We start from the raw sequence: 13,975 nt of genomic DNA on the forward strand, positions 1-13,975 counted from the left end.
GGCCAGTCACCTCAGCTATGTGCTCTTCCAATTTCTAAATGGGCCTAATCCTGTTATTACAGAATAATTACTGCAAATCAGCACAATTACTACAAAGATTTGAATAAACACACACATACCAGTAGCTGTTTTCTACAAATTATTATCAAAACAAAGAGAAACGGCTAATTGTGGTAACATTAAGACAATGTTTATTCCTCTCAGTGTTTGGGCAAGTTTATTTTAAGTTGTCATCTTCAACTAGTAATGATACAGATGATTTTACAGACTCCATAAACCTTTCTAATCTAAACTCTTCTCAACTGAAAGTTGGCCGCTTCCCTCAGAGCAACATCTGCGAAGGCCTGATTTCGTAAGAACCCGCTTTTATGGTACATTTGCAGAAAAAGCCACCAAAACACATTTAGAAATCTCATTTTAGAAAGCTCATTACTAAGGTACTCTCCTAAGTTATGTTTAAGATATTATGAAAGTAATAAAATATGCACTTCATATTTTTCACAACTGAAGCATTTGTTTTTAAATAAGTACAACAAAACTTTATCCCCTCACCAATATTATTGGGTTTCCTTCAAAGATAAATACTTATTTTTGGAAGGGAAGGTGGTTAGGAAGCGGGAGAATTCAGGAAGCACACAGCACACAGTAGTGATTATATCCACACCTACCTCCTGGACAATGCCTCATTGTCATCTTGCATCTCCTGGATTCAGCAATGGTTGGACACAGTATTGTGTCTTTCACTGGCTTTTTAACAATTTGCCGTGTTCTGGTTTCCAGACCCCATTTAAATCCACATGTGCGATTATTTCTGCTACAAGTTCCCCATTCGCTCCAATGACCAACTTCACATCCTTCTAGTAAAGATTTTTAGAAAAAGAAAAAAAAACACAAGCACATAAGTTAGTATCCATTTGCTTCACTGTCATCAAATTTACAGAGCAGTGTTCCTTCACTAACCCCACCTTCAGATACCAAAAATTAAGTGGTACAGCCTTGAAGACCTATACTCACCTTTTGGGAACTTTAATTTTTTGAACCATAAGATATTTCTATCAAAAAAAAGCTGTTACTTTCCATTTGTCTTAGTTCAGTTTTTGAAGGATGCTATTGGTCAGTTCTGTTTTTTCCTTCAACTTTTAAGTTCAGGAATACATGTGCAGGATGTGCAGGTTTGTTACATAGGTAAACATGTGCCATGGTGGTTTGCTGCACAGATCAACCCATCACCCAGGTATTAAGCCCAGCATCCATTATCTATTCTTCCTGATGCTCTCCCTCCCCGCATCGCCCCCATTCTTACAGGACCTAGTGTGTGTTGTTTCCCGCCATGTGCCCATGTGTTCCCATCATTCAGCTCCCACTTATAAGTGAGAACGTGCGGTGTTTGGCTTTCTGTTCCTGCACTAGTTTGCTGAGCATAATGGCTTCCAGTTCCATCCATGTCCCTGCAGGGGACTTGATCTCGTTCTTTTTTATGGCTGCATAGGATTTGATGGTATATATGTACCACATTTTCTTTATGCAGTCTATCAGTGATGAACATTTAGATTGATCCCATGTCTTTGCTATTATGAATAGTTCTAATGACACTAAAATGTGTAATTTTTAAAAGAGTCAACAGCTAAAACCTAAAGTAGAAGACACTATTTCCTGTCATGACAGAAGACAAAATTTTACAGGCTAGTTCTAAATTTGCCTCCACCAAACCCACAAATGTGTTTTAGTTGGGAAGCACTTGGTGAAAAAGATGGGGAGCTTGCTTTGCATTTTCTGATTTTTTCTGTTCTTTCAACAGGTTTCTGGAGACCACAGTTCTTATTCCCCACATTGGCGTTGTACATTACTACAGTTTGAAAAGTAAACAAATGTGATCAGTCATTTGAAAATGTATGTTTTTACTACATACGTAAAAACTTTAGCATCTCCTATGTTAAGTCCACATAGTGGAAAATAGGCTACCCCCCAACTCCCAGGGGAGGGAGAGGAGGAAGTAAAAGGATAAGGGTATACAAAGCTAAACCTCCTCATCAACTTCACCGTTAAAACTCCTCTTCATGCTAGTGGATGAGGGCTCAGGTCCAGAGTCTGCATACAATTAATATTTCCATCTTCTAGACATCAGTGGGTATCACAGCTGCTTCTTAGACTTTTCAAAGACATTTAAGATTTTTTATTCAGGGAATGCATAAGACTCTATTTATAATATGCTTATAGTTAAGGATTTCAGCGTTTCCACTAAACATGTGTAATGTGTGTGTCCTGCCTCTCAAAAGCAAATTCAACATTCTGAATATGTTCTTCTAGTGACTTTCTTATTTTAATAGTGGTGCCTATAAAATGTATTAACTCACACATAAGTAGAAACATAAATGCACACATTTCTTCAAAAACCACTTGTTTAAATGTCTTCTTTGCAAGCTCTCAAATACACAATTACAGACTACTTCAGCAATATTTTCATAGAAAAATGTCAACTTTTCTTCTAAGTCTCCATTTTAAGGGAAGTAAAGTCTAATACATAGCTGTGTTGTATATCATATCAGATATATAACATCAAATGAAATTCTGGGGAGGGGGCATGACAATACATCCATGATTAGATTAAGAGATTCATCATAATGTAGCCACTGACAGATCTTTACCTTTCAAATGGTGATATAAGAATGCCAAGGTATTTTACCAACTCTCAGAAGATATAAAATTTATAAAATGTGTTACTATTTTCACAAATAGTATATATATCAAATTATGCATTCCAGGTATATAAATTTAGTAATTGTTTTAATGCATTTGTAACATATAATCAACAAAATATGGCACAAAGAATTTCTTTTCAAGTTTTTTTTTTTAAACAAACAGCTAAGCAAGCAGTTCTGTAATATCCACACATAGCAGGAGCAATAGAGTAGCTAGCTGATGTGGTAGTGCTTAAAACTTCTCTTCTGAACAAAATGTTTTTCTCTAACAGTTACTAATAATCTATTAAGAAATTGATGTATTACACGGATGATTAAAAAAAAACCTTGTTAGCACTTAAGTAGATTAACCTAGCAAATGCACAACTAGCAAATTTTACAGCAAGATATGAGACTATCCAATTGTCATGATGCTTAAAATCAGCAAAGAACTTAATTTTCAGTTCTACTGAACAAGAGAACCAATTTGTTTCTTAGTTTAAATATATCCAGCATGCATATTTTTAAGAAACAAGTGCTAAAATAAAAGTTGCAGATTGAGAGTTACATTAAAAACTACTCACCCACACATTCCATGGTTTCTTCTAATGGTGCAAAACCATCTGGACATTCATCAAAGCAACGGCCTCTATGCAAATAAAAGCCTACTTTGCACTTGGTACAAAAGTCTTTGCTAAAGCAAGAATCACAGTTTTCTATTCTGCATCCTAAAAACAATTTTAAAGAGAAAAAAGAAAATTTCAGTCAAAGAAATTTACTTGTTTTACAAATAAAATTTTTGTAAACTCACAAGTTAGCCCATTTGAAATTCTCATCATCAGAGAAATATTGTTTAACTCATTTGTTTCCTAGCGCCATCTCATTCTAAGTCATCCCTGTCTCTTTCAACAGCTTACTACATCAAGAATCCAAGAGAGAATGCCAGCCCAGGGTCCCAGGCACCATGAGAACTTTTGGACATGTTGGTAATCTCCAGATGGGATTAAAACAAAAAATTCAAAAGACAAAGAAAACACTCCCTCTACAAATTACTTGCTGCCAGTATTGAAATCTGTCCTGCCCTCAAAAGGCCTACAATGGGAACACTGTAATAAGTGTTTGTGTATAGTAAATGAGTTAAGAATTTTAATTTTTAAAATGTTTTAAAATGCATGGTCTATTTTACAGGGCACTGGTCAATGCTAGCACCTACATTCATCAGAGGGTGACCTGGGTGGGGCATGGGGGTGGAAGTTTAGGTCATTTTGTTGAAAACCTACAATGTATCAAAGGCTTTACATATATTTCCACTGAATCTTCACAATAATCCTACAGCTGGGCAGTAGAAACTCCATTTTGCAAATAAGAAACCTGGGACTAACAGAGTAACAGCTGAATTGGTTCTGAAAGCCACCAAAACCATCTGCCTTTTAAATCCATTCTCTTTCTCTCTATAACTCGCTCACTGCAGTCCACTAGGAGTTTGTGAAACAGATGTGCTTTCAGGTCTGTTACATCTGGGTGTGAATACCAAGCTCTGCCCTTACCAGCTCTGTAACTTTAGACAACTATATGCCTCTCTGAGCCTCTATTGCCTCCTGTATTAAACAGGGGCATCACTGACCTTACAAAACTATTGTAAGGTTTTGTAATAATATATGTAAATTGATAGGCTCATAATAGGTAGTCTGCAGATAGAAGCCACAGTGAATTAGAAACATGTATTTTTCCACTAAACCACATACATTACAATAAGGTATAAAAAGAAGCAATAATTTATAAGCTTGTATTCTAGATCACATTCCCTGGTAGGCCAGAACATCTGGGCCAGAAATCCTTGGCATGCACAGGTGAAAATAAATACACTCTTAACTACTCTTCAAGGAAAGTAAAGGAGAGAAGTTCGCAGGACCGGTAAATTCCAAGGTCAAGTTTTCAACAGATTGTGGTACATTATTACTTGTAACAGTTTTAACCGACGCAATTGACAGCACGTAAAGTGCTATGAAAACTCTGTGACATCACATGTATTCATTTTACAAGGCTCCAGAACTATACTTCATGCTTTAAGGATTCAGAAAAGCTTTAAGACATATAGTTCCTATAAGCAAAGCGATAAAGGGGTAAAAAAAAAATGTAGCCAAAATGTTAAATCACTGAAGATTTCAGTGATTTAAAGGCTAAATTTAAAGGCTAAAAACAAATTTCATTAAAATAGATCACATAAGAAATAACTGTGTCTAGACCTATTAAAAATGCCAACTCTTTGCCTTTCAATTTTGAGTCTAAACAGGCTTCTTTGTATTAAATGACCACTATGAAGCAGCTAATGCAACTTCTAAAATGTTACCAAATTTATAAACAGAACACCAAATATGTGTGGGTCAAAGTCCACATACAAATCTACACTACTGCTCCTTTGGTGGGGAGGGAAATGGTAAGCACAGAACAGTTTATCACCCCATAAAAGGTTCATTTGTAGTCTTACATGCTGTAACCTATATTTTAATAAAACCATGGTCCATAGCTGGTCAATAACCTCTTAATCATGGTCAAACTACATGACCATTATGTCCACAAATTGTTAGTTTTCTTGCTATATTTTTTTAAAAAACAAGCAGCCCTTCCTGCCGTAGTTATTTTCCAAGAAATAGTAATGAGCATTCCAAAGGATAAAACAGAACTAAAGGGTGAAGATGAAAAAAAAAAGCTCTTCTACTTAAAGAGAAAAAGAGGACTTTACACTTCATAAATCAGCTATCATCTATGAGGTCTGACTTCTCTTTAAAATAAAGCCACACCAATAAGCTTTTTGGCCAAAAAGTTATAGCAATAAGCATTTGGAATTAATTTTACCAGGCCCTTTGCTGATCTTTATTGTTACTTGTAGCTCCCTTTCCTCATTTCATTCCATGCTCCCAATACCAGTTCATAGAATATGGAATTGCTGAAATACCTATCATGCTCTGTAAAGTCCCTGAGGACTTCTTCAGGTATAAATCATGTTGGATGAAAGCTTAATTATTTGTTCTCAAATTCAAGTAGAATATAAATATGATATGTTCAAATTGTAGAAAACTATAACCATTTAAAAGTACAAGGTGAAGTATAAGTAATGACCTGAAAAACCCATTGTTAAGTTAAAAAAAAAAAAAGACAAGTTGGCTGGGCATGGTAGCTCACATCTGTAATTCCAACACTTTGGGAGGCCAAGGCAATGCATCACTTGAGCTCAGGAGTTCAAGTTCAGCCTAGGCAACATGGTAAAACCCCATCTCTAAGAAATTAGCTGGGCATGGTGGTATGTGCCTGTTGGTCCCAGCTACCTGGGGGCTGAAGCAGGAGGATCACTTGAGCCCAGAAAGTCAAGGCTGCAGTGAGCTGTGTTTGCACCACTGCACTCTAGCTTAGGCAATGAAGTGAGACCTGTCTCAAAAAAAAAAAAAAAAAAAAAAAAAAAAGGCAGGTTGCAAGATATATATAGTATGACACAATAAAACTACGTATGTGTGCGTGTGTTCATGGGTATGAAGTAGCTTACGGAAGTTAATTTGGGGAGGGGATAGTAGAATTTTGAAATATGTTATTTTTCTGAATCATATCCTTTATAATTACATTTATGTAATTAAAGTATCATAGAAAAGGTTATTACAATATGTATTTGTGACCTACTTAAGTTTACTCAAAAAAGTGCCACTTCATTAACATTGTAAAATTAAGCTCTTTTGATTTTAACAGGCAAGAATAAAGGCATCTATCCAATCTAAAACTTTTTCATATTTGAGTGCATGAATTATACCCCTGATTTAATAATGTTGAACCTGCTATAACCTTCAACATACACCTTCATTTAGCCATCTCCGTATCCTTTGTTTTCACATGTTCAATAGTGTTGCTTTTCCTTCACTCAAATTGTAAGGGGAAAAAACTAAATAAAATATTGTCTGTGTAATAAAGCATTGTTTTAAAAGCTTTGATCAGTGCCAAGTCCTAGCACCTGAAGCTATGCTGACCATCTTGGCCTCATTTGCTCTTTGCCACTGCATAAAACCAGTGCAGGTGGCCCATGCATTCAGCAGCCTGCACTGACAGAGCTCATCTGCTCACAAACACCTACAAACCCAATATTTTTTATGCATTCATTCGTTCATTCATTCATTCATTCATTTAGAGACAGAATTTCGCTCTTGTTGCCCAGGCAGGAGTGCAATGGCACAATCTCGGCTCACTGCGACCTCTGCCTCCCGGGTTCAAGTGATTCTCCTGCCTCAGCGTCCCAGTAGCTGAGATTACAGGCATCATGCGCCACCATGCCCAGCTAATTTTGTATTTTTAGTAGAGACGGGGTTTCACCATGTTGGTCAGGCTGGTCTCAAAGTCCCGACCTCAGGTGATCCACCCGCCTCAGCCTCCCAAAGTGTGTGAGCCACCATGCCTGGCCAAACCCAATATTTTTGAAAGCAAGCAGCACCACAAGCCACCTAATCCAGGAGGTCTCCTACTTGATGTGCTTCACAGCCCTTGATGACCTTTCCTCAGCAGCTCCAGATCCAACTACAACCCCCTGCTCTGTTCAGCCATTTCTCCAGGAGGTAACTCTTCTGCTTTGCAGGGGGTGGGGGGAACTCCTGTGCAGTCTCATAGTCCTATATTTTCTCCCCCAGCTTGTAGCCATTTTCCAAAAACTACTTAAGCATTTTACCCTTCACTGGGATTCATATCAACTCTATTAACTCATTTTTATATAAAAGTAAAACATTCTCATTATAAGTAAAAACTCAAAGCAGTACAGAAGTTTTACAGGAAAAAATAGAAATCCTTTTTCTCACCTGAATGGCACATTAGGCCTACTCCCCAGAAATAGCCACTGTGTTAACAGTTTCTTCCATACACTTTAGAAAACCTCTATGTAAATCTTATAAATGAGTTAGTCACCATTAAAACACCAGTAGGATCACACAATAGATTGTTAAACCTTAGAAAACTGTATGCTACATAATAGGTATATTAAAATTTACTAAACATAGGACTTTTCTATAAAAATATGGGTTTTAAGTCCTCGTTCAAATAAAAGACCCTAGTTCAGCCAACTTACATGCTTCTAAATTACAGTGCCTCCTCAAAAATGTAACCCACCGAATGAGGACTGCCAATATTGGTTTAAGTAAAATTACTGTCCAAGTGAAACTGCATCCAAATACAGTCTGATGGGGCTGTCATTTGGCAAGAAGGGCTTAACCTTGGCCAAGAAACAGAAAAATAGGCTGAGCACCCTCTCTCCTATCCTCTTACAGTACCCCGTACGGGCTCTAATATAACATTTTTCAAATCACACTGTAGTCCAGCTCAACAGTTCATTCTCAACATTCTCCAGGAACCTAGTATATGCCAGACCCTAAGAACCTAAACCCATTCCCTATCCTGGAGGTGCTAAGCCAGAGGGGTCCACGTGGCACTAACAGAGCATCACAATGTAACAGGAGATATTAGAGGCATGTCTTGGGTACATTAGAGACAGAAAAGGGACCAATTTCTGTCCTGCCATTCAAGTTTTTTTTTTTTCCAATCTGTGAATTCCCCATTCCTAACACAGTATTGGAAACATGGTGGAGTTTTAATGCTTGCTAAGTAAATGAACATGAATGCCATTCAAAAATTCAATTTCTGTAATATTTGCATGCTTAGTGAGAGACTGATTGCACATGCACTGTATTTCTAATATTAAAAAGCCATACTTGTTGTAAAGAACTGCAAATCATATGGAAGAACCAACAGTTAAACACCTGAAAACAATTATACTGGAGAATGTAACTATCAAAGGAAGGCGGGTGATGTGTGCTATAAGTTGGAACTTCAAATGAGCAAGTTTTAGGGAGACAAGAAGAAGCAGAGTCCTGGCAAGGGTGGCTGCCCTCATCATGAGGCAATAGAGAAAATCCATATGGCAAGTGACGGGTCCAGTGAGGAGTGGCTTGGAGGAAAAGGAGGTTAGGCTATGGGATGGTTACTTGGGTTTAGAAGCTTTGGGTGGGGATTATAAATTATTCATACTTTGAGTGGCTTTAAGTATTTAAGTAATAATTAGTATTAATAAAAATGAAGCTCAGTTCAAGATTAGGGGTTTGGTCTGACTAGCAGTGAGTAGTCCCTGTAGATTCTGGCCATGAGCATAACATCACCATGTTTCCTCATTGAGACAGGTAACAGTCCCTATGGGCCAACCATCCTGACAGGTACATAGAAGCACAGATGAGAAAACAAGGTCCTTACACCTCAGGATCTTCAGTCCACTGAGGGGAAAGCTCTACAGAGAGGCAATTAGGGAATAAATGACTACTCTAAGCTTGACGTAAAGACACAGCGAGCTGGAGAGTGAACGTTTTCAGAAAGTTAACCTTCCTGAAAGCAGAAGACAGTAGAGGTCAGGAAAACCATTGGTAGGCTCAACAATCCGGGGAGTGGAGTTATAATGAATCCATAAAAGTGACAAACCAAGTGGAAGAGAAGATGGAAAACTGAGAGAAGCCAAAGATCATGCAACTATCCTCTCTTCCTTTGGTCTCAACAGTGCTTTCAGGGCACTTGGCAAATGGACAGAGTTCCTTTTGTTTCTCTTCCCAGCTAAATTAAGATGACAAGAATCATCTCTTAATTGAATATCTCAGCATGGTCAATCAGATAAATGAGAAAAGTAAATCCTTAAAAGCAGAGAAACATCAACCTTTGTTAAATCTAGCTGTCAAAATGTAATTATATATATTACAATCAATTATTGGAGAAAGGGAAGAAGTCAATAAAGTAGAAGGAACCTCAAACACCCCTGGGAATCTATGTTCTCTTATTTCTTCATGCCCATCAGGGCTGTGGACTTCAGACTGCCTTAGCACACCATGAAAATCCAATTGCTTGTTGCTCCAACTGCTCTTATTTTAAACTAGCATCTCTGTTCAGAATGTGGCAGTCAATGACAAAAACAGGGCATTTATTTAGTCCCCACATAGTAGATGAAAGGATCAAAGAACATCAAGCCAACCTCTAGAAACCTCTAGAGATTTCTCTGCCCACTGCGTGCTAAAATATGAATAGAAATTAAAGGCACAGTTTGTTCCCAAAACATTCAAAATTAGACTTTCAGCAAATTTTCACATGGAAAGCACTAGACTATGGAACTTAATATAAGGTTTTTAAAAATTAGTTTTAGGCTTATCTAACAATTTCAAGTACTATTTAACATTTCCTCTCAAAACTTGCAATGGGGTTATAAATATCCCAAGTTTTAAGCTTTATGTTATCAAAATCATGCATTTCTAATATGTACCATTACAGTAATTCCACTAGACTATGTATTGATAAAAATTATTATACCTAAAAGCTAAAATTACATTTTTTTGTAATACAGTCAAGTAACACACAGCTCATTAGAACTTCATTATATTTCAACCTAAATAAAAGATGAATCCAGAAGTTTCAGGACTCAATGTTTTATATTTACAATTAAACTCTTTGAATGATGACACAGAGAACCAGCATTACTAAATTAACAGAAGATACAGGGTTAAAGTCTGTTTATAACCCAGTAGAATGAGTTTAAATCAAGATTGCCTTAATTAGTTCAGATAGTTGGTATAGGATAAAATTCAACTATGTCAAATGCAGAACAGGACACTTAGAATAAGAGCAAGGGGCAGGAAATAAGAACTATGTGGAGAATATAGTGGCCACTCAAATAGTACAGTGGTTAGCAGATCTGAGGTTAGAATCTTGGACCACTTACTATTGTGTGACTGTGGTCAAGTCAGTGAAGCTCTCTTTGTCTTAATGTCCTCATGTATTTTTTTAAAGGTATTATCAGTCTCTATCTTACAGGCTTTTTGAGAGGATTCAGAGGCTTAATCAGTGCAAAGATCTCAGCACAGTACCTGCTGTGTAATTAGTTATTAAAAGTGAGCTTTTATAAGTATAAAAATTTACTACCAATGTGATCCAGCAATCCCACTGCTGAGTATATATCCAAAAGAGGGGAAATCAATATATCAAAGAGATATCTTCACTTTCATGTTTATTGCAGCACTATTTATAATAGCCAAGATATGGAATTAACCTGAGTGCCCACCAATGGATGAAAGGATAAAGAAAATATTTTATGTATATACACACAATAGAATGTTATTCAGCTATAAAACTAGAATGAAATCCTGTCATTTCCAGTGCATGGATGGAACTGGGGGACATTATGTTAAGTGAAATAAGCCAGGCACAGAAAGACAAATATCAAATATTTTCATTCACCTGTGGGAGCTAAAAAAGTAGATCTCATGGAGATAGAGAGTAGAATGGTGGTTACCAGAGACTGAGAACGGAAGGGGATGAAGAGAAGTTAGTGAAGGGCTACAATCATATAGTTAGATGGAAGGAATAAGTTCTAGTATTCAATAGTACAGTAGGAAAAACTATAGTTAGTAATCATTTATTATATATTTCAAAATAGAAGAATTGTAATGTTCCCAACACAAAAAAAATAAATGTTTGAGGTGACGGATATCCTAATTACTCTGATTTATTCATTTCACATGGTATACAGATATCAAAATATCACATGTACTCCTAAAAATACATACAACTATTAAATATAAATAATAAAATACATTTTAATCTAACAACTAGGACAAAAGGATTGCAGCCCAAGATGGTGAATGGAAGGAAGCTCAAATAGGATACTCCACATGGAAAAAATAGATATAATTTTAATAAACTGTATATATGTAGTTTTAATAAATAAATATATACATATGCACTACTCAAAGGGCATTACCCAATAAAGGGCATTACCCACTGTCTAGAGTACACTTAGTGGCTTCACCCTTGTTTAGGTCACACAGCTTAACAAACTGATCACAATCATTTGTTGGGTACCTACATGGAAAATCATCTGCTTTGAACATTAGGAACCAGGAGTTAGGAAACCAAGATCTAAAGGCAATTTTGACCTGGGGTGTGGGGACAGATGGTAGAAATCACATTCTCTTTGTGCCCTACTCCCTTAACCATCAGATAAAAAGGGGGAAATACCTGACTTACCTATATCATACAATAAAATCCTGACGTAGGCTGTGATTTAAATCCTCAAGTTCCAATTAGGCAGAATAAATTTCTATCTAGAAATTTACATACTGTTTTTCAGATAGCTATAGAGTTCTATCTTACATGCCATAGTATCTTTTATTTTAACTGCCGAGGACATATATGCTGTCAAAAAATGTATCAGGGAAAAGTATTTAACTTGAAGTGTCACAACAGTTCACTTTTTAAAAACTCCAAATTCAAACTTTTGCAATATGCTGCTAGTAGCTTCACTGTGATATTTGAATGTTTAAATGTTATATCTTGCCCACCCACATAGAAAAAATATGAAGAAACGTGGAGGCTTGTGTAAAATTATGTGGTCAAATAACGAGGAACTCTGAAAATACTGGCTTTATTTCTCATATATTCAAGTGATGCATATTTGAAATCATTCTCAAAACAAATGAAATTAAAATGAACACATTTGCTAAGAACGTTAAATGCTTAAAGAGAATTTTTTTCCCATGGTGAAGGTGTGAAACAGTGGGAGAAGGACAACTACCTCAAAATAAAATAGCAAAGGAATGTGATAGTAATGAAAAGTTTCAAAAATTGTAAACCAAATTAGTATCTCATATCAGATTTTAAATTCCTGCCATTATTAGAACTCTCATCTTGGTTACTTCTTGTGCTTTTCCTTTTTTGGTAACTTGTCACCCTTTTATATTACAGTAGAAGTAGAGCGGTTTAATCAGCTTCAGACCTGCATCTTAGTTGGATTTTTCCAAATGTTGGAAAATGCAGATCTCTCCACCCAACTAAATGGAAAAGCATATGTAAGCTAATATATGTGGTGCCCTCCACTCAACCCCCATCCAAGGAAAACAAGAAGAATACCTTAATCTCTTTATACTCCAAATAGGCTAGAGCAAACTTTTCCTATAATGAGCCAGATAATAAATATTTTAGGCTTTGCAGACCATACGGTATCTGTCTAAACAACTCATGTCTGTCATAACACAAAATGCAGCCACAGACAATATGTAAATGATTCAACATGGATGTTTTCCAAAAAAACTTTATGAACATTGACATTTAAAAGTTAATATCATTTTCGTGTGTCACAAAATATTGTTCTTTCATTTTTTTGTCTTAAAATCTCAATGACTTAAAAATCTGCAAGCTATTCTTAGCTTAAGGGCCCTAACAAAAAGATAGCAGTCCAAATTTTGCCCTTGGGTCATAGTTTGCTGACCCCTAGGCTAGAGAATTACTGAAATCCCTGGGGTACCTTGATAGAAAAAAGGAAAAGAAAATAAAGAGTTTTATTTTGAAAACACCAAATGGTAGCATTGAAGCTTGGGGAGGCATAGTGATGTCTTCCATATACCATCTGGCTGTGGGCATAAGACAAATATCAGATAAGCATGAGGATGCTGGAATTCAGTTGACATGGGAATACTTTCATTTCAATATTTTTAACTTTATTCACACTGTATTGATAAATCAAGAATGACAACTCCTGATCAGTTGTCTGTGGGTCAATATTCCATTCTATTTTAATAAGTTTTTAATTTCTTGCTTGCTGTGGCACTGACTTTTGAACGAAGTTGCTGGTTGGAAAGGAAGGAAGAGAGAAGAATTTTACGAAGCCATATGTTTGGGCTGAAACTAGCTTGACATTTATGTCCAGTCCTGTAGTTTGATATTTTTAATTGCTCTGTTTGTGAGGGTGGCTTTGTCATGTATGCCCATCTAGTTTGATGATAAAAGTAGATACAGTCTTGGTTGTACCACGCAGTGGCAGGCAACCTTCGGGCCAGTCAGTGGACTTATCAGAATGCATGTTACCTGCTTTGTAAATGAGGATATTAACTGCCTCGCAGGATTTCCAGATGCGGTTAAGAAGATGCAGGTGAAAGTATTTTAAAAACTAAAGCACTAGGTGTATGTTTTATTTACATAAAAACAGCACAAGGTGGCTTCTGCCCTGGAAATATAATAATAGAACGATGTTGCCTAACTTGGGCCTATGTTGAAATAATAGGCTCACTTACAAGAACTACCAAATCCACAAGAAACAAATGTAAGCTTGAAAAATACAATTACCTCTATTAAACGGAAAGTCACGACTTTTATTTTCCAACCATTAGTACCATTACTAAAAATAAAAGTAAAATGTTTTGTAAAGAGTATCAAAAATCATATAGCCAACTTTCTCACAGAGAGAAAAA

The 13,975-nt window shown here is 36.3% G+C and overlaps 1 protein-coding gene across 3 annotated transcripts in view; it reads right to left on the reverse strand.

Annotated features, from left to right (window-relative positions):
* RSPO2 (R-spondin 2) overlaps positions 1-13,975 on the reverse strand; it is a 184,305-nt gene that overhangs the window by 58,096 nt on the left and 112,234 nt on the right. For 2 of the 3 annotated variants that reach the window (NM_178565.5, NM_001317942.2), the window contains 2 exons: positions 3,263-3,406; positions 669-857 (listed from right to left, as the gene is read on the reverse strand). In NM_178565.5, the coding sequence (NP_848660.3) occupies positions 669-857; positions 3,263-3,406 (333 nt within the window). The remainder of the gene's footprint in view (positions 1-668; positions 858-3,262; positions 3,407-13,975) is intronic. The other variant, NM_001282863.2, reaches the window with a different exon arrangement.

The sequence above is a fragment of the Homo sapiens genome, chromosome 8 (assembly GCF_000001405.40).
Source record: "Homo sapiens chromosome 8, GRCh38.p14 Primary Assembly".
NCBI lineage: Eukaryota > Metazoa > Chordata > Mammalia > Primates > Hominidae > Homo > Homo sapiens.